Source organism: Homo sapiens, chromosome X (genome assembly GCF_000001405.40).
Source record: "Homo sapiens chromosome X, GRCh38.p14 Primary Assembly".
Lineage (NCBI taxonomy): Eukaryota > Metazoa > Chordata > Mammalia > Primates > Hominidae > Homo > Homo sapiens.
Genome location: NC_000023.11, coordinates 110833410 through 110855416, shown reverse-complemented (window position 1 = coordinate 110855416; position 22007 = coordinate 110833410). Strand labels below are relative to the sequence as shown.

Sequence of the window (22007 nt, the reverse complement as noted above, 5' to 3'; positions counted from 1 at the left end):
GCTTTGATCAATTGTCCCATTAACAGCCTTTCCCTTTTAAATACAAGAGTATAAGTGATCACTGATGGCCCATAATTACTGATAGCCCATTAGTATTTCTTGAATGTTGTAATTCACACATGGTAAAAGAAATAATTCAAGAAGTTCAAAAAAGCACAAAATTAACTGTGGAGACTTCTTTCTCACTCCCCGCCCCCACCCCATCCTCTAAAGGAAATCACCATCAACAATACAATATTTTGTGTATCCTTCCGATTTGTTTTATTTATCAACTACTGACTGTGGACATCGTGCTTCAGACCTACCTGTTTGCCATCCACAGGTCAAAAGAGTTAACACCGAATGTGCCCTATATATGTACAAGTCTCTTCACATGTATTGTCTCATTTAATCCTCACAACAACTTAATGAATTCAGATAGCATGATTATCGTCATTCTATAGATAAGGAAACAGGCTTAGAGAGGATAATGTGCCCAAATTCACACGGAGAACACATGACAGAGCTAAAACTTAACTTACTCTGTGTCCAGAGCCTATACCTTTAAACAATGAGCTCTATTGCTTTTGGCAGAATATAATAATAACAGCTAACACATATTAAAATTATACTATGTGTCAGGCACTTTCCTAAGTACTTTACCTACATTGCCTAATGTTAACCTGTTGAGTTGGGTACTATTCATATCTCCTTTTAACAGTTAATGAAGCAGAAGCACAGAGAGATTAAATAATTTGCCCAAGATCATACAGCTGGTAACAAGCTGAGCTGGAATATAAAGCTAGGCAGTGTAGCTTCAGTGCCTGCATGCTTACCCACAATGGAGCTGGGCAGTGCGGCTTCAGTTCCTGCACACTTTCCCACAATGCATGTGACCTCCTTAGGCAGAAGGAACACATAAACAAGAGTTTAAACACTTCAGACTTCACAACTGCCTAATTCATGCATGATTGCTCCTGGTGTCCCTTGTCCAGAGCATCCCATGTCAGCAACTTTGACACCCCCTGGATGTTTTCCTGCATCCCCAGACTCCCTCACCCTGAACCTTTGAAGCCAGCTTTCCCTGCTTACACCAGACACACCAGCTGATCCACAATGGCAAGCTACCATGACCCATTGCTCATCAGGATAATTACCCTGCAGACTGTTCTGTTCTTACTTCTGCCTATGGCTTTCTGGCTTTTCAGCCCCTTGATTGACTTCCTGTGCAACCTCTGGACCTTAAACTTGAGTTTCAGGGTGACTCTTTCTAGTAGCCCACCTTTATTTTTCTCTAGTGGAAACTGACTTGGCTGGCCCTCCAGTTTTTGTGGTCCAGCTTGCCTCTCAAGTAGGGATCCCAATTCTTCCTTTAGCCCTGCAGGACCAAGCCTCATCCCCCCACTTCTTTCCTTCTTCCTAGGTGGGTTAGCCTCGGTCTCTGAACCCCATGGGGTAGAGAGCCAAACAGGTTGTCTACAGCTCATTCTTCGCAGCGTGGTCACCCGCTGTTCCCGGAGAAAGGAAAAGGCAGATTTCTCTTGGCAGGTGCTCATCCTGGCAGCTAAGTAAGCCACAGAGAGGCCAAAACTGCTCCTTTGCGGGTGGTGATGCCTCAGGGTGTAGCTGCCAAAGGATCTCTAGCTCTGCCTCTATGCCACCCTCTGGAGAAAAGAGGAAGTGACTCCAGAAAAGTGACATCTAAAGCTGCAGCTGACTCTGGCACTTGGTACAGGAGCCTGAACACAGGGGAGTTAAAAAAATGGGAAGGGTGGCTGCTCTAGCAGCTGGTTGGTTTCCTTTCAGGGTGTTCCGTGGGGTTTCTGATTACCCTCTTCTAAAAACCTTCCAAGAGGGTAGCCCAGGTTGCAATCTGCAGCCTCCTTATCCAGAGGTGCTCTAAGGCAGCTTAACCTGGCCTTCACAGATGGGGTTCATCCACAGCAGGGATCTGAGAATTTGGATTCAGAAAACATATCTTTGTCTTTACTAACCTCTAATTTCAGTTTCCTTAAATTCAGTGTAGCATGTCCTACAATTACGAACATAAGCAACAGCCCACAGTGGTGTCAGCAGTACCTGTGACTTTGTCATCAATGGAAGTCACAGATGGTTGCATATCACATTACAAGAGCTGCACTACAGCATCTTCTAATACTGCTTATTCTCATGACCACTTTAAAATTACAGTAGTAGAGACCTGCCACTAGATCGTGTTACTTAATATGTGATAACTATATCACAAGTTCATTTTTAATATTTTGACAATTCCATTTCAGTGTAATATGTTTCCTTTTTATTCCTATGTATTTTGTTCTAGGCACCTAAAAACGTGATTCTGATAAGGGGTTCTGTTGGCTTCACAGGCTGGCCAAAGGGTTCCATGACACCTAAAAGTCAAGAACCCTAACTCTTAAGAATTCTGTCAAACTTGGTCCTAGAACCTGGGATGGGTATATCTGAGCTGAGGGCCCATGTTAGGAAGGCTTGGTGGAGATGGAGCTGTAGGAGGTGGGGGAGCAGGGGAGCAGGTCAAAGGAACAATGACTGATTGCTAAAACTGCAAGCAGAACAGAATAGAAACTTAGGTATGAGGCTGACCTCACCATTGCCACAGGAGCCCACACTCCCTCTACTTCCCTACCCCTCAGTTAAAAAAAAAATAGGAAGCCAGAACAGCCAGCTCTGTAGCTGGTGGCCTGGCGCAGTGGCTCACACCTGTAATTCCAGCACTTTGGGAGGCCAAGGGAGGCGGATCACCTGAGGTCGGGAGTTCGAGACCAGCCTGACCAACATGGAGAAACCCCATCTCTACTAAAAAAGAAATACATAATTAGCCAGGCGTGGTGGCACATGCCTGTAATTTCAGCTACTCAGAAGGCTGAGGCAGGAGAATCACTTGAACCCGGGAGATGGAGGTTGCAGTGAGCCAAGATGGCACCATTGCACTCCAGCCTACGCAACTAGAGGGAAACTCCATCTCAAAAACAAAAACAAAACAAAACAAAAAACAAAAAAACCTCATTCTCCACTGCACAGCATATACCACAAGATGGCGCAGTTGTATGAGTTGGTGGTCAGGAGGGGACTCTGCCAAACAATATCAGAACTGTATCGTAACAGTAATATAGTCACTATTCAGAATTTTCAGGATTTATTGTCAAGGCCCAATTAGGACCTTCAGAGGCCTTGAAGCACTGAAAAGACTATGGCATTCCCACTCACATGTAATTCAAAAGAAAAGTAAAACTAAACTAAATGATTTTGCTGAAATTCCAGTAATTTATTTCTAGAATTCCTGATTGCAAAATTCTGGATAAGGTCTTTGAAGTTAAACCTTTCCTTAGGCCCTAATTTCCTGGGGCTCTAAGTGGGTGTTTAGTCTGCCTGTCTAGCAAGAAGCCCAGCACTACCTGCTAGTAAAAGGGTAACCAAGCCAGATCCTGCTCTGGACTCCAACAGAGCCCGAGGCCCCACCCTCTGCTGAGTCACAGTGTGTTGGGCACTAGCGAAACCTAGAACATCTGGTAACTACCTCCACCCTCCTGGTAGACGAAGGGGCTTCAGACAGTTCTGTGGGCCCCGCCCCAGCCAGTTCACATGGCTCAAACCAGCCCTCCCATGAGTATATCCCATCCTCTGATTTGGAAAACTAATAACCATTGCAGTATACAAGAGAGTTCACATACAGCATTATGCACATGTTCTGGCCAGATGTAATGTCACCCAGGAACCCTAACTCTCAGCTTCTTCTTGCTCTTTGATCCCTGGCCTCATCTGGAGTGACAAAGCCAAACTCCTACCATCCTCTGGGCATCTGCAGCTTGCACATCTGAGGATTTTGTTAGCAGTTGCCGCCACAACCATTCCTGCATAAATTTATACCAGGCTTCATCAGACCTTCACTTCCCTAGCAGGGACCCAGTACTCTTTGTAAGAAGAAATATCAAGAATTCCAGCTCTGCCAGTGCCCATTCTGTGACCATATGGAACCCTTCATAACTCTGGTAATTCCCAATCAATCACTTGGATGAACCCCCAAGGAACCCAGGGTGGGGTAAAATTTGATTTCCAGGCCTTCAACACCCCGATCAGATTCAGAAGGGTAACCAGAAAATTCAAAAGAAAAGTAAAACTAAACTAAATGATTTTGCTGAAATTCCAGTAATTTATTTCTAGAATTCCTGATTGCAAAATTCTGGATAAGGTCTTTGAAGTTAAACCTTTCCTTAGGCCCTAATTTCCTGTCCTGCATCTGACAGTCCCTGCATCTGACCTGTCCCTGACAGTTCCTGCATCTGTAAACGGCCTGCAGCTTGTAATAGGTCTTGTAATAGGTCTGAATTCTCAGCCTTTGAAGCAGCTGATGAGCAAAAACCCAGTATCAGGGTTTCATTTTTACTGATTCTCTCCTCCATCAAGTCCTTGGTTCAGCCACCACTGGGTCTACTACAACAGTATTAACACGGGTAAATAAGCATATTTAAAACAGAAAGTTCATTGGCAGTTCTTTCTACGTGCCCAGGGCATCTGCATAAAGTCAGACAAAAAAAAAATCACTTCTTACCTGGAGAAGGGATCCCTCTGAACCCTTAAGGATCTGTAGCAATTCCTGCCTTCTGTTGGGCACTACTTTAGTTTTCTACACTTGCAGTCTCACTGCTGCCAAGGGTCTGGAAGCAACAAAACCAAACGATTCATTTGGGATGGAGAATGCACTGGAGAGGGTTCTAGCCTTCTGTGATGCAAACCTGTTTTTAAAAAGGCTGCCTTTAGGAGGGCTGGAGGTGGAAGGGGGATGGCCAGGGTGGGTTCTAGCCCAATCCAGCCAGGCGGCTGCCCTGCCCCGGGTAGGCCACCATTACCCATCAGGAATGGCCAGCCCAGGCCCACAACTTGTTTATGGCCTAGGTGCAATTTACTTCCTTGCAGCTCTGTGTTTAACCTTATCTTAAATTTTTAAAAATACTTTAACAAATACTTTTCATGCTTCTATGTGCCTGGCACCATTCTAGACCCTTTATATGTAATAAATTATTCAATCCTTACAACAACTTCCTGACATGGGTGCTATTTTTATTTCCATTTTGAGGTGAGGAAGCTGAGACACGGAGAGGTAAAGTAACTTTCCCAAGGTGAAACAAGTGATAAGCAGTAGAGTCAGAATTCAGACCTAGGAAGCCTGACTCCACATTCCATGGGCTTAATCACTATGCTATAGCCTATAGCCTGCTTTGCCATGTGATGCCTCTGATAATACCCTTTTAAATTCTGGGCCATAGTCTTACCTTGGGTTTCATTTGTTCCCACCCATTCTAGATAAGTGTCCTGCCCATTGCCACTCAGCCATTAAGACTTTGCCCAAGCAGAGTCCCAGTAGAACTAGTCCTCCCCTCTTCGACCGCGCCAGGTGCAGCCAAGCTCCACAGAGAGGATATAAACCCAGGGAAGAGGTGTTGAGGGGCTGAGGTGAAAGCACTGGCAGTGGGGTTGGAGGAGAAGCAGTAGATACAAAAGAAATTTCAGAGGAAACATCGGCAGGATTGTGAGACATGAGGAAGACAAGGTCAACAATCATCTCTAAGCTTCTGGCTTGGATGGCTGAACAGGTAGATGGTGATGCCACTCACTGAGGTGTGGGCATGGAAGGCAGAGGAGTTTGGTGGGGAAGGTAGTAATGATAACAGCTAGCCTACATTGCACATATACTATGTGTCCAGCACTTTACATATGGTCTCGTGTGTAATTCTCACAATCACCATTTGAGGGAGGAAACAAGCACTATCAGTATTTTCAATTTACAGACGAGAACAATGTGAGGCTCTGAGGTTTGCAGTGACTTCCCCAAGATCACACAGTAAGTAGCAGAGCTGAGATTTGAGCCCAGGTCTGTGTGACTCTACATCTGCACTTTTAACCAGCTGAATGGAAGACATTCAGGCTGTATTCAGACCCCATTTCTTTGCTCCGTTAGTTCAATCCTGGTTGGGGGTCTGTCTTCATGGTTCCAAAGTTTCTGCCTTTCCAGGGCCTTCATTTTACCTTGGGTCCTGACGCTGGCTGCCTACTCGTCAATGACTCCCAACATTTCTTCAGTCTTCAGTACCTGAATACCATCCTTCCCACCAACTTCCCCACCCCAGCTCTCTCACCACCCCTTTCCTTGCATACCTCATCCAGACTGTAAACATAACTGAATCTACAGGTTTTAAGAACCTTCTCCATATCCCACCCACTGTCCAGTCTCCATCCTTGGGTTCTTCCAGGCTAGCCCTGGATGAATATCAAGGCCCTGACTCTATTTCCCCTTGAGAGTTTATGTCTGTACCTGTCTAATTCTATGGTTCTGTATGCATGTGAATATGTATAAGATAGAGACTGGTATACAAAGGAGGTGGGAAGCACTTAATGGAAAAGAGGATGCTAGACGTCCTCAATGTGCTAGACAGTTCCACACAGTGAAGAATGCCCCATATTCTGTCCAAATTTTGAATGCCACCTCCCACCCAGTTATTCATGTAGGTTAAAAAAATCTGTTAATAATTAGCTGTGCCTAGAACAGAACTCTGATTTATACATAAACACAAAGTATTTTTTGCACAGTTTTATTTCAGTATATGCTGAAATTTCCAGGAATACAGCTACCATGTAAATTGAGGGAAAACTGCTCTTTGTTGTGTTCAGAACTCTCCCAAGAGTTGTCTAACATTTTTGAAGATCATATTGCCAACAACAACGCTGATCATGGTAATTGAGTCACTAATGCAATGCCCCTGCATGCGCCTGCATTTGTAGTGTTTGAGTTCATGCTGTTTCTGTACGTAGGTGCAAGCTTCTACCTGTTCCCCTACATCTTATAGCATGGTGTGGCCTCAATCTTTGCAGATGGAAATTCATTATTTATTACCAATAATTTCCTTTTATTTCTCCTTCACACTAGTTGGACCTCTCTCTCTCTTATATATATACACACACACACACACAAATATATAAAATTATGTGTGTGGTAGGTACATTGCTCTATGAGTTTCTCTGTCTCATTTTAGGACAGTAAAGGGGCTGTAGCAAAGTATTTGTCAAAAATTACAAGCACTTACTAAATTGCCTACACTGCTTTCAGTGCTTTACATACCAGTCTCAGTCAATCCTCACAGAACTTCACAGAACCTGAATGAGATGAGTATTATTTGCACTCTTATCTTGCAGATGAAGAGGTGCATAGAGGTTAAGTAATTTGCCCAAGGCCACGCACTTAGTAAGTGATAGACAAGTAATCTGAACTCCAACCTGTTTGACTCCAAATGCAGTACACATTCAGCTGCTTGCAGTGTGGTAGATTACATCTACTGTTTCTTATTCGTGTTAGAACAGGCTCAGGATGATTCCAAGGGCAGTGTATTCCAAAACTATTTGAGGATTCCTACAAAAAGTATAGACACCCCCACCACCTGAATGACTGAAAACACTCATGCATACATTTGGATATGTTTAACACACACACAGCCAATCAATGACCTGAGTCAAATTTAATGGTGTCTTATTCCTTAATTGCTTCTTGTGTCCAATTAGATTGTATAATGCCTGAAAGCAGATCTGTGCCAGCCATATTTTCCTTTTGAAAAAAATAAGGTACATAATCTGATGCTGAATGTTACAATGGGAACAAATAGGTTCCATCTGGACTGTCCTGTGCAATTCCCACCCCATCAGCAACTAGCCACATTAATAGGACTTGGTGGCTAACAAATGATATATTTAGACCTTTATTTCCCTCAATTAACACGATCTATCGAGTGAAATGTACATCGCATAACTACATGTCTTATTCAGAGAAACTAGCCATTCCTCTTTCTCTGTGTAAACGAAAGCTCAGTGGTTTTCTCCAGGCTTCCATGAAGAACTACAGATCTCATTCTCAAGCATATCTAAATTCCATCACTAGATGGCAGTGTTGCCCAAACTTTTAATAGAGTAGTAGGTCAGCTTTGTTTAATGCCATTTTCTTCATGAGTCCTAGATCGAATTAACCATCTTTCCTGCCACCAGAAAAATGTCCAGAAGTTTTCCATGCTGAGATTTCAGGAAAGATAACTTGTCTGTGGCAACTTGTTGACATTTAAAAAATAAGCTTAAACCTGTTCCAGTACAGCTGGGTCGCCTCAGTTTAGTTCAAATACCCCTTGAGTCTATATTGTGTTGAAAACACTGAGCTAGGTGCTGGGGATACACAGATGAAGTTGAAAGGGCCTGACTCTCTTAAGAAAGGCGCAATCTAGTTGGAGAGACTGGCGCACAAACAAAAAGCTCTATAACAATATCATAACACTGTGATAGGGTAAGCATAGGATGGGGCACCCATCTCAGTTTGGGGATTCAGGGATCTACAGCTGGTGACACTAAAAGCTGAATCTTTTCAAAAATTTATTTGTATTTGTATAAATTTAAGGGACACAAGGGCAGTTTTGTTACATCGATATATTAAATAGTGGTGAGGTCTGGGCTTTAATATGTCCATCTAAATGGATCTACCATAAAGATAATAATGATAATAATGTATGTTTTACTCATTATTTTCTCATACCCCACCACCTCCCACCATCCCACCTTTCTTGAGTCTCAAATATCTATCATTCCACACTCCATGTTCATGTGTACCCATTATTTGGCTCCCACTTAGAACTGAGAACATGTGATATTTGACTTTCTATTTCTGAGTTGTTTTACTTAAGATAATGGCCACCAGTTCCATCCATATTGTGGGAAAAGACATGATTTCATTATTTTTTATAGATGAACACTATTCCATTGTGTATATATACCACATTTTCTTTATCCAATCATCCATTTATGGACATTTAGGTTGATTCCAAAGCTTGGTGAATACTTCTGCAATAAGCATAGGAGTGCAGATATCTCTGCTATATACTGATTTCAATTCCTTTGGATATACATTCACTAGTGGGATTGCTGGGTCATATGGTAGTTCTATTTTTAGTTTTTTGAGAAATATCCATACTGTTTTCCACAGAGGGTGAACTAATTTACATTCCCACCAACAGTGTGTAAGCATTCCCTTTTATCCACATCCTTGCCAACATCTTTTTTTTTTTTTGACCTTTTATAATAGCCATTCTGACTGGTGTAAAATGATATCTCATTGTGGTTTTGATTTGCATTTCTCTGATGACTAGTGATGATGACCATTTTTTCATATGCTTTTTGGCCACATGTATGTCTTCTTTTGAGAAGTGTCTGCTCATATCCTTTCCCATTTTTAATGGAGTCATTTGGTTTTCTGTTGTTTTTGTTGAGTTGTATGAGCTCCTTGTAAATTCTAGACATTAGTCTCCTGTCGGTTGCATGGTTTGCAAATATTTTCTCCCATTCGGCAGGTTGTCTGTTCACTCTGTTGATTATTTCCTTTGCTGTGCACAGTTTAAAGTCTTATTTGCTTATTTTTTATTTTTGTTGCTTGTGGTTTTGAGGTCTTAGTCATGAATTCCTCGCCCATACCAATGTACAGAAGACTTTTTTTCCTAGGTTTTCTTCTAGGATTTTTATAGTTTCAGGTCTTACATTCAAGTCTTTAATCCATCTTGAGCTGGTTTTTGTGTATGGTGAGAGACAGAGGTTCAGTTTCATTCTTCTGCATATGGCAATGCAAGTTTCCCAGCACCATTTATTGAAAAGGATGTCCATTGCATTAGCCGACTTCAAATTGTACTGCAAGGCTATAGTAACCCAAATCGCATGGTGCTGGTATAAAAATAGACACACAGATCAAAGGAATAGTATAGAGAACCCGGGAATAAGGCCATATATCTACATATCTTTGACAAAGTAGATAAAAACATACACTGGGGCAAAAGAATCTTTAAGAGTGGACAGGCATTAGCCAGGGAATAAAGTACGAAAGCATATTTCAGGAATGAAACAGACTAAGCAGAAAGGCTTGCAACAGTGTGGTGTGTGCTGGAAAACTAGGTAGAAGATGTGGGGCGTAATGAGAAAACACACTATGAAGTGTGGAGGTAGATAGAAATCAGGTCAAGGGATGCGATAATAATGATACAATCAGGAATCAATATATAAAACCATCTGCTTCTCCCAACTATTTGCTGAGATAAGAGCATCATCACCTTACCTTGAGAAAAAATGATGCCGTTATTTCTCACAACCACATGGTGTAGTTCAAAATAACATTTACCTTTATTACTAAGTACTGGGAACCATGATAAGAGCTTCTTCATGCGTTGCCTTTTTAAATATCAGCAATTACTCTGAGATGAGTATTATTATACTATTATCATCTTTATTTTACAGATAAGGAAACCTAGTTTCAGAGAGGCTAAATAACTTGCTCACAATCACACAGCTAACAAGTGACAGAGCCAGGAATTGAATAGAAGCATGTATGAGATACAAAGTACAGGAGAGAGAGGGAATCACTAATAATACTAGTGGGCATGGGGTTGAGAATGACAAAGTAGACTTTCTGGAGGTAATGCCTAGGCTGGATTTAGTAAAATCGTTAACAATAGTGAAAATACAACATTTTTGAATATGTGCTATGTGCTAAACTCTGTACTGAATATTTTATAAGTATTACTTTGGCTGGGCACAGAGGCTCATGCCTGTTATCCCAGCACTTTGGGAGGCCAAGGTGGGAAAATTGTTTGAGCCCAGGAGGTCAAGGCTGCATGAGGCTTGAGTCCTGTGATCTCACCACTGCACTCCAGCCTGGGCGACAGAGCGAGACCCTGTCCAAAAAACAAAAAAAACAAAAAACAAAAAAAGTATTGAAACAGGAGAAGTTCCCTTATCCCTCTTGCAGGGCGTGCGTTGGGGGTGTGGTTCACTTTCTCAGTGCCCCGCTGCTCAAACCTCTAGGGGGAGCATGCAGATGGGCAGATTGTGGGGCTTTGACCCCAAGGCAGTGTGTAGGGGTGAATATTTACAGCTGAAGCCCCATTGGGTGTTTGTTGCAGTGTGCTCTTTCAGTTTTGTGTGTATGCGGGTTTTTTTGTTTGTTTTTTGTTTTTTGTTTTTTGTTTTTGAGACCGAGTCTCGCTCCGTCGCCCAGGATGGAGTGCAGTGGCACTATCTCTGCTCACTGCAACCTCCACCTCCTGGGTTCAAACTATTCTCCTGCCTCAGCCTCCCGAGTAGCTGGGACTACAGATGCGTACCACCACGCCTGGCTAATTTTTGTATTTTTTGTAGAGACGAGGGTTTCACCATATTGACCAGGCTGGTCTCGAACTCCTGGCCTCAAGTGATCTGCCCGCCTCGACCTCCCAAAGTTCTGGGGTTACAGGCATGAGCCAGTTTTGCCCTCTGTAGGCTGCTTGTGTTTATCAGCTCAATGAGACCCTCTGCCTTATCGCAAGGACAGAGGGCTTTCTGTATGCCAGGTTTCTTGCCTTAGTGTACAGGAAAAATTGGATCACAAGTAGCCTTGGAGGATGAAGGCAAGGTTTTTTATTGAGTGGTTGTAGCTCTCAGCGAGGTGGATGGGGAGGCCAGAAGGAAGATGGAATGGGAAGGTGGTTTTCCCCTGGTCAATGGCCTGCAAGTGTGCTCTTCCTCCAGTGTGTTCTCCTCGACGTCCAGCCGCTTGTGTCTTCTTCTGCTTGTGTGTTCCCCTCAATGTCCAGCCACTTGTGTGCCCTTCCCACTAGGGTCTTCGGGTTTTTATAGGCACAAGATGGGGACATGGCAGGCCAGGGTGGTCTTGGGAAATGCAAATGTTGCATTTTATGCCCAAATGTTAGGCATAAAAACAGAAATGCCTGTCCTCACCTAGGTCCATGGGCACAGGCCCAGGGATAGAGCCCCAGCCATGGACCCTTCCTCCTCTACCCAGCACTTCCCTGCCCACAGGGAAGGGAATCATATCAGTATTACCTCATTTAATCTTTACAACAACCCTATGAGGAAGGAACTATTATTACCCCCATTTTACAGATTAGGACACTCAGGCACAGAGCAGCTAACCAACTCGCCAAAGGTGACATGGCTAGTAATTGACAGAGGCCAGATTTGAATCCAGGTAGTCTGGCACGGGCACCAGGAGGACTTGAGTGGGGGCATTTTAGGCAGAGGAAACAGTAGGAAGTGGGCATGAACCAGCATGAAAAATTGGAAACACACCGAACTTGGAATCACTGGACTGTAAAGTGGGGATAACCAAGAGGTCAGGATTGTGAGGTTGGAACAGTACATAGGAGCCATACTGTGAAGGGCCTCAGATGCCCTGCTCTCAGCTTGGGCTTGACATGTTAAGAGCAAGAGGCGGGAAGGACAGGAGAGTCTTAAGGAAGAACAGACCTAATCCCATTGGTGTGATGACTGTTTGTCCTTCCCCAACTCCCTTAGGTAACAAACTCATGCTGCCACACAGAAATCACACCAAACCTCATTCTTTATCTAAATGTGCATAATTGTACTTCTTGCTGCTGCATTGCCAGATGCTCTCTAAAGACAGTTATACTCTAAGACAATGGTTCTCATGTTGAAATTTCTGGACTGGCAGCATCAGAGCCAGCTGAATACGCAGTTCTTTCAGCCCTACGCAGTACCTACCGAATCAGAAACCCTGGAGGTAGGGCCTGACAATGTGTGCTTTAAAAAGCCTCCGGGGCCAGGTACGGTGGCTCACGCCTGTAATCCCAGCACTTTGGGAAGCAGAGGCTGGCGGATCACGAGGTCAAGAGAGCGAGAGCATCCTAGCCAACATGGTGAAACCCCGTCTCTACTAAAAATACAAAAATTAGCTGGGCGTGGTGGCGCACACCTGTAGTCCCAGCTATTCAGGAGGCTGAGGCAGGAGAATGGCGTGAACCTGTGAGGTGGAGGTTGCAGTGAGCCGAGATCGTGCTACTCTACTCCAGCCTGGCGACAGAGCAAGACTCTGTCAAAAAAAAAAAAAAAAGCCTCCAGATGATTCTGAGGCACATAACACATGAAAACCACTGTTTTCTATTGTTGCTTAAATATTGCATATGCATCTGGTTTATTTCTTCTCTCAACTCCTTGAGGTAAGGAACCATGTCTTCTGTTTTATCATCCTGCATGCCACCCCCAATTCCTGCTCCCTGACATGGATAACTATGCATATCTCAGCTCTGCTACTGTACATAAATCTCTTATTCTTTCTATGCCTCAGTTTAATCATCTGTAAAATGGAAATAATACTACTGACTTCATTCAGGTTTTGTATTAAGAGTTAATGCAAGAAAAGTTATCAGAACAGTTCTTCTTGACTCATATTAAGTGCTCAATTTTATACAGATGCCCCTTGACTTACAATTGTGTTAAATACTAATAAGCCCATCATAAGATGAGGAGTGCCCTGAATGCCTGTCACCTTTGCACTATCATTAAATTGAAAAATCATAGGTTGAACCATCCTAAGTCAGGAACCATGTGTATATTATTAGTTATTTGTACCTAGTGTTCAATGAATAGACAATAATTGATTAATAATTGAGAGTAGATTTAGACAAAGAGGGTAGAGAAAAGGCAGGATGGGAGAGCAGGCCAGAGAAAATGAGAAAAGAAAACCTGTTTTAGATTCAGCTAGCCCTACAGGGCTGTCCCAGCAATCCAGGAGCCTGGCTTTGCAGGGAGTCAGAGAAGGAGAAGGGGGAGAGAGGAAAGAGGCAGAAATAGGCCCATTTATGTCCACAATAGGTAAATCCACAGAAATAGAAGGTAGATTAGTGATTGCTGAGGGGTGGTAGGTGGGAATGGAGTTTGACTGCTAATGGGTATGGGAATTTTGGGGTGAGGGTGATGAAAATGTTGAATTACCTAGTCATGATGATTGCACAACCCTGTGAATATACTCAAAACCACTGAATTATATATTTTAAAAGGATAAATTTTATGCTATATGAATTCTGTCTCAAAGAACAAAAACAAAAACAAAAAAACTGTTTAAAAAACAAATAGGCCTGGTCAATCTGGAAAGAGAAGTCAAGACTTATAGTCTTTTTCTTCCATTAAGCCCCAGGAAACTAGGCACAGAGCAGGTGCGGAATTGAGACCAGGAAAAAAAGACAGAGTCTTGTGGCTGGATTTTGCTCTAATTTATTTGCTTGCCACATAGGGGCAACCAACTCATTTCCTGTGTCATTATTTCTAAAGACATAAAGTCTGACATTTTCATTAAGATCCACCATATCAATGGCATAAAATTAAATTCCAAGAGAGACACAACCTGATTGTAATAAAAGTGCAATCCAAGACTGGCACATAATGGAGAATCTCACAAGCGTGTGTGTCACATGCTTGAGGTCAACATGGGTGAAAATATCAACCTTTTATTTCTAAGTCCTCGGGCAACATAACCTAGCCAAATAGTCCTGGAAGATCGAATTATATACCCTAAGGGCCCAAACCACTTAACTTTCCCTCCAAGCTTTTAGAGTTTCCAAGAAAATCATTTGATTATTATTTCACTGAGTGATAAAAACAGACTTATGCCTTTATAATACAGGGTAAATGAATCAGGACTTGGGGACTTTTCAGGTTTAAATATATGCTCCAGTGTTAATTGTGGGGTAGGGGGCACTTTATTTTATTAAAAATAGTCTAAACATGTCTGCTTTATAGACACTCTGTGCGACAAGATTGCTTATTGCCAAGAGAGTTCTACCAGGAAAAGTCCAAGACAAGAAGCAAAATAAACAAGTACGAATCAATGAGTGCTGGCAAAAGTAATCTAAATAAAGGCAAAAGGGAGGACATGCAGCCTAGAAGAGTCAAGGATGCCATATGCCACAGGCCTAACTTTATTAGACCTTAAATCCTCAACCAAATTAAAGAAATGAATCTATATAGTGCAATGATTGAGCATGCAGATTTTAGAATTAGGCTGCCTGGGTTCAAATATTGACTCTATTCTCCGCTCTTCTCACTTCCCTAAAACATTAGTCTATTATTTCCTTCATAGCACTTTCCACAATCTTTATTTTTATGACCTGACTCCTACTAGATTATAAATTCTATGAATAAGACAAAGTCCCATATAGTAAGTACTCAATAAATATTTGTAGAGTTTAACAGAACCCTTACATTTCTGTGGTTGTAGTACCAATGTAATAAAGTTGTTGACAGGAATCTACATAAAAGTACAGTGCCTGATACCTAGCAAGTGCTCAAATAATGCTACGTATTACAAAGGAGAATTTCTAGATAAGCACCATGCTTGGAACAGGCAACTCAATAGGCTGGAGTCCTTTCTTTAACAATGACATTTCATTTGCTTTTAAAACATAAGCAAACCTAGCAAGAATGTTAATACATAAACTCTGGGTCATGGATAATTTGTGGTTTATATATTATTCTCTGTATTTTTATGTTTCATATTTTTCAAACATGCCTGATGTCCTTGATGTTTTTCCTATAGATAGGCAGAGTATCTGTCCTCTCCTGTTGAATCTTGGAAAGTTCACCTGTAACCCACAGAATGTTGTGGGAGGGACACTGTGTGTCAGTTTTGAGGTCAGGTCAGAAAAGATGATTTCTGTTTCCTCCTTGCTTGCTGGGAACACTTATGCTTGGAGCCCTGAGCCATTATGTAAGAAGTTTGGCCACCCTGAAGCCACTAGACAGTGAGGAAGCCAGTATTGTGAAGAGGCAACACGTAGACAATTGAGTTAGCATTTCTAATCATTGAGAATCCTTCCAGCCTAGGCATCAGAAGTAAGAGTGAACAAGATACTTCAGATGATTTTAGACCCTGGCCATCAATTCATCCCTAGCCTTCAAGTTTCCCAGTAGAGACACCAGACTAGAACAGAGACAGCTCTCCTCATTATGTACTTTCTAAATTCCTGACCTGAGGAATGTATGAGCATAATGAAAAAGTGGTTGTTTTAAGCTGTGAAATTGGGTGGTCATTTATAATAATATGTTTGAAATATTTCAGAATTTAAAAGAAAGATCATTAAAAGGACCAGTCCTCCTCTTATGCTGCCACCCCCAATTCAGCTCTGGGTCACTGGAGCAAAAGCTAGGATGTGTCTCAAGAGTGAGTAGCCACATCACGATGCCATTTGAAGGGCACTAAATCTCCAAAATACATCACCCCCTTCTAAGGTCTGAAATGCTCCCAATCAAGATTTCTTTGAGATATTTTATCATGAGAGCCCACTATTAAGAAATATTTATAAGTAATCCCCAAAAGGCATGGGGGTGGGGGACAAGGAAGGAGATCATTTGACCTGGGCATCTTATTCACTAAGGGCTTTAACTTTCAGCTTCTGACGTTACTACCAGATGAGTTTCCAGATATGCAGAATACAATGACACAACGAAAAGAAGATATTTGTCATATTAAGCTTCTGTCTTATTAATGGAAAAACCAAACTCTGTAAAATATTTAAAGAGGTTTATTCTGAGCCAGTATGAGGGAAGATGGCCCCAGAAACAATTTCAAGAGGTCCTGAGAAAGTATGCATAAGGTGGTTGGGTTACAGACCAGTTTTATACATTTTAGGGGGACAGATGTTACAGTCAAGACATAAATCAACACATGTAAGGTATACACTGGTTCAGCCCAAAAAGGTACAACATCTCAAAGTCAGGGGTTGGGGGAGGAAGTGCCACAGTTCATAGGTGGATTTAAATATTTTCTGATTGGCAATTGGTTGGAAGAGCTAAGCTTTGTCTAAATACTTGAAGTTAGTAGAAAGAAATGATTGAGTTAATATAAGGGAGGTTATGAAGGCCAAGGCTCCTGTCATGTAGATGAAGCCTTGTAGGCAGTAGCCTTCAGAGAGAATAGATGGTGAATATCTCTTTTTGGACTTAAAGAATGTCAGATGCTTAGTTAATCTCATCTCGATCGGGGAAAGGCCTAGAAAGGGAAGGCCTGGTTTCATTAATGAAGATTCTCTATAGATGCAAATTTGTCCCACAAAAGACAGCTTTGCAGGGCTGTTTAAAATATATCAAAGAAATCTATTTTGGGGTAAAATATTTTGATTTCCTTCAGGGCCTGCTATCTATCATGTGATGCCATGCCATAGTCAGCTTTGAATTTGGTATCTTATTATCACAAACAATCTGTTTTGTCAGCTTTATGACCTCTATTTTAATGTTAATGCTAGTCAGTTATGCCCAACCTCCAAAAAGGAGAGGATATAATGAGTTATGTCAGACCTTCCCTCCCATCACAGCCAGGAATTCCATTTTTCAGGTTTCTCTGAGGTTCCCTTGGCCAAGAGGAGGTGGTTCATTCAGCTGGGGGGCTTATGATCTTATTTCTGTTTTACAGTCTCATCAGCAGACCCACTACCTGTCCTGCACTGTGATTTTTTTTTAACCTGGCAATTATCTTGTGACTACTACAATTGTATTGTAGAACATTGCCATCTGTGGTGAAATATTTAAATTAGAATTAAGCTATAGATTATGAGTGACGCACAGTCATCAGCCAAACCCCTAATTGGCAAAATCGTCTCTGATACATCAAAAATCCTGTGACATCATTTAGCTGCAAAAATTCAGAACATTGGAATCAGTCAAAAAATATGTTAATCATTAACTCTTTATGAGAAGATAGAAACAAATTAATGCATTGTCTTTTTAAAATTAAAAGTGTGTTTTTGTTCCACATAAAAATTGAAAACATAGCAATATAGCACAATATGAGAAACATATTTGGTATTTGAAATATATATATATATATATATATATATATATATATATATACACAGAGAGTCTTAATACCTAGAAATGGCCTCTTTGTATCTGGCTTTCTGAGAAGCCCCAGGGGATACTAAAAAGCTGTCATTTTGAAGGGACATTGGGAATGAAGTTTAATAGTGGAGTTTTATACAGAAATTATCTTTGAAATCTTTTCTAACCATGAAGACCAGTGAGTGTTTGACCAGAAAAAGGCCCCTTGGGGGATAATGTGCAGCTCAGGAAGAGGAAGAACTAGAGTCTTGTATCAAATAGTCTTTTCTGCAAGTTTTGCCTAGTACTCCTAGAAAAAAAGGGTCCAGGGGACTGAGACTGACTGGATCAGTCTTTTCTGAATGTGGATGTCTTGATGCAAAATTGAACCCTGTGAATCCAAACAGGGTAGATGGCACAAGTTCCTATCTGATCCCAGGAAAGAGTGTGTGCCACACTGTGGCTCGTCCATTCCTTGCAACACTAAGCCAGCCTCAAAAGCTCCCTAATCCACTAGGCAGCCTGCTGTTGGGGCCCCAGAGACTGCCCAGAGGGTCCTCATCAGACAGCTGCTGCTGCTGCTGCTGCCACCTTGTGTCCTGTGAGGAAAAGCAATTGCTTCCTGAGAGAAGAGCTCCATCTTTCAAAGAGAGAGCTCTCCCTATATGAGGTGGTTTGGTGGTATCCCACCTAACCTTTACCTGGCAATCCTTGCCTAGGGTTTTCCAAGGATTCCTGGGTGGTGGCTGTCTTAGTTTGTTTTCTGGTGCTGTAACAGAATAGCAGCACAGTCAGCTACCATGGACTGAGTAACTTAGAATGAACAGAAATTTATTTGGTTCATTTCTCTCTACTCTTCCCTGTATCTTTTTTTCTTCCTCCCATCTTTTTTCTTTCTTCTGATCTCTTCTCTTTTTTCTCTACTTTACTGTTTTCCCTCTACCTCTTGAGCTCTCCACAGGCCCCTCCTCATTCCTCTTTTTCATCAACCTTTATTTGATCTGGAGTTCTAGGATTATAGGATATGAGTATACATTATATTAAGCAACTTCTTATTGCCAGATCTTGAAATAGGCTTACAATGGGTAAGAGGAAGTGAAAGTTGTAAATCTAAGGATTGTTCCTTGTGAGGCAAGAGAAGAGCAAGAATCCTGCATCCTTACTTCTAGACTTTTCAGGCCCTAGTATAGCAAGCTCAATACTTGCTATATTAGGGGAGACAGAGAGATCACTAGGAGCCCTTTGAAATAGTTTATTATGAAATATTAAAGACATACAAAAGGTATGTATATCTTTTTGTTTAATCATTAGCCAGACTAAGAAAATTGATTATTACCAATGTAGTTGGAGCCCCCATGTGCCTCTCTGATCACAACCCCTCCTTTTACTCCAGAGATTACTTCCATCCTAAATTAGGAAATTGCTATTCCGTGGGTTTCTTTATTCTTTTACTACATATGTATGTAGCAGCAGGAGCCCTTTTAAGGGCTTTGCCAACTCCCTAGTAGCAGACTTGCACCATTTTGCCAGAAGTAACAGAAAGAGGAGGTTTTGATGATTCTTTGGAGGCAGACAGCTTTCAGCTTCATGCACAGCCTAGATCCTGTAGGCTGTCAACAGTTAGCAGTACATAATGTGATGGTTAAGAACCTGGACTCTGCAACCACACTGACTGGCTCTGAATCCCAACACTGCACTGCCTGCCTATGTAACCTTGTAAAGTCTTTAGAATAAACAGTTCCTGGTACACAGTAAGTGCTCCATAAATGGAAACTTTTGATTAGTAGTAATGAAGAGCACTTGCTAGATAATGAAGTGGAAGGCTTCTCACTTTGACATTAACAAAGAGAGGCTTCAGCTAGATAATGAGTGGCCTCTGGGATTCCACATGGGAGGAGCAATTTCATGGATCTGAGTGAAACTGACCCAGAGGAAGAGTAGTTGAGACCCTGCCCTACTCTAATTAGTGCCTTATAAGATGTTTGGATCTTGTAACAGAATTTCCGGAGACTCCAAGTTTTCTCCGAAGAGCACATGCCTGATGAGGGCTTGGAGACTGTGCTATAAAAAATTATGCTGCGACAGTGTCTATGCAATGATAACAAGCTTTCATCTACTATGACCCCCCCCCCACCCCCCGACACATGCATGGAAAAAAAGACCAATCACAAATAACAACAAAAATAGGAACAAACAATGGATTCATCCTAGTTTGTTGCTGTTGACTTTGAGGTTTGATTCTGGGATCCTGGGAGTATGGTGGTGCCACTGATGTACATGGAAGAGTTGATGCAGGGAAGCAATTTAGAATGGAAGAAGAGTAAGTTTAGATACGTTGAGTTGAAAATGATGATGGACTATATAAATGGAAATGCTCTCTAAGCAGCCCTCTAAAGTAAAAGGCAATTGCTCCATTTGCTTATTGAGCAAAACAAATAAAAGGCAATAGTTCTTCAGTTTTATTTTATATCAATTCATCTTGCTAGGGCTCAAGAATCTGCATTTTAATAGTATTTTAAGTGACTTGGCTCCTGGTGGTCTTTGCACAAAGCACACTAGTAAAATCTCTGATACATGGTGTGAGGAAGGGAATTTCATATAGGGAAAATGGTACACTCCCAGGATGATGCAAAGGGAAAGGGGTCAAAGAACAATCTGGCCAGCTCCCCAAATGTTTGCTGAGGGGTAGCCCTGACAAACCAGGCCTTTGGTTGATTAAGTGGAACGAAGCCCTTCCTTCCATTCCAATTCTGTCCTCCCTACCCTGACTGTGTAATAAATCATATCTTTCCTTGCACTGTTATCTTATCATCTTATATTTGTTTATTGGCATCTAGCTTGGGGATATGGAGAGGAATCAGTACTGAGGCATAGGGGAGTATTTAGTGTATTGGCATAGGGCAATTGGGATGGAGATGAAGGTAGGGGCTCTGAGTTTTCCATCGAGGTTTCACAGTACAATTTGAATTGAGCTTGCTACTTTGAGAGACAATAGGGTAGGCCATGAGGCAACAAGACAGACCAGTACTATAGACGTATATTTCTGAGTTATTAGCATATATGATAAATTATACCTCAGCTACACGAAATGATTTGGAAATTATGTTGTTTATTTGTCAGCATAGACAAGTGATCTGGCTAATTCAGCCTGTTCACTAATGACTGCATGAACTCATAATTGCCAGCTAACAATCTCACTGTGGGCTCTTGTAAACACAGTTCCAAGTTTTCAAGTTCCACTTGAAAAAGAGCAAGTGAAAAGTTAAGAGATCCAGATAAAGCAAGCTGTGCTTGAAGAGCCATAGAAATGAAGATTGCTATGAGACTAAAATCAAGGAAACACTTGGCCAAGAGAGGCATAGAATGGGAGAGGACAGCTTGAAGCTGCTTAAATTTCTGGAGGGGCCAAAAAAATCAACTGATTCCTCCTTTTCTCTATAATCCACGAACAGGGGGTTACTCAATGAAACCAATGGCAAATAAACATAAAACAAGTAAAATGGATTATGTTTTCCTGTATGTCACTCCTCTGTGGAAGTCACTACCATGGAAGTCGTAAATGGAAATGTCTGGAACATGCTTTAAAAGTGGATAGGCTAAATTTAGTTCTAATCACATTTGCATCTTTGGCCCAAGTTAAGTATAATTCATTTTCAGGTTTCAAGTTCCAAGCCTATAACTTGGTGAGGCAGGGGAGAGGGGAGCTTCAGGAAAGAATGATGTCTTCTAAGAAGAGCAGTATACAATTAACATGCACTGTGGGGTTTCGTTAGCTGGCTTGCGTTAGTGTACAGGAGTCTGAATCCATTTTGCTCTCACTTCTCTTGGAGCCTTTTTTAGCTTTGCGGAATTCATGATTCACAGAATCACAGTACCATGCACTTCAGAGTTGGAAGCATCCTTAAAGAGGACCTAGTTCAATCCTGTCATTGTTCACATGGGATTCAGAGCCCAGAAATGACTTTCTTAAGGGTCAAACCTAGTTATGTGCATGGACAGAAGTAGAAATATAGTCAAACTAGTTATTTGGTATGGAACAGGTAAAATGCTCAGACGCTTGTCTGAATTGACTAGATCAGTGGTTCTCAACACTGGTTGCAGGAGGGGTATTCAAAATATTTAATAATGGGTACTGTACTGGGTACTGATTAATTAGAATGGAATCTGGCTAAATGCGGAAGCATTGTGCTGGAGGACTCCTTCAGGGCCAGGCATTAACTCTATAGTTACTGATTATGAGAAAGTCTAGGGGTTCTGAGCTGGAGGAGATGAGGTTTCCAGGGCACTTGGGTCTCAGGGCATTTACCAATTCACTTGAAAATATCTCAATATTTTCA

General features: G+C 41.8%; 1 annotated feature.

Moving 5' to 3' along the window:
- Positions 3419-3508: a silencer, noted in NCBI's record as "silent region_20942". NCBI's record gives its function as "represses an Ori minimal core promoter by ATAC-STARR-seq in GM12878 lymphoblastoid cells {active_cell/tissue: GM12878}" and the evidence as "EXISTENCE:reporter gene assay evidence [ECO:0000049][PMID:35858748]".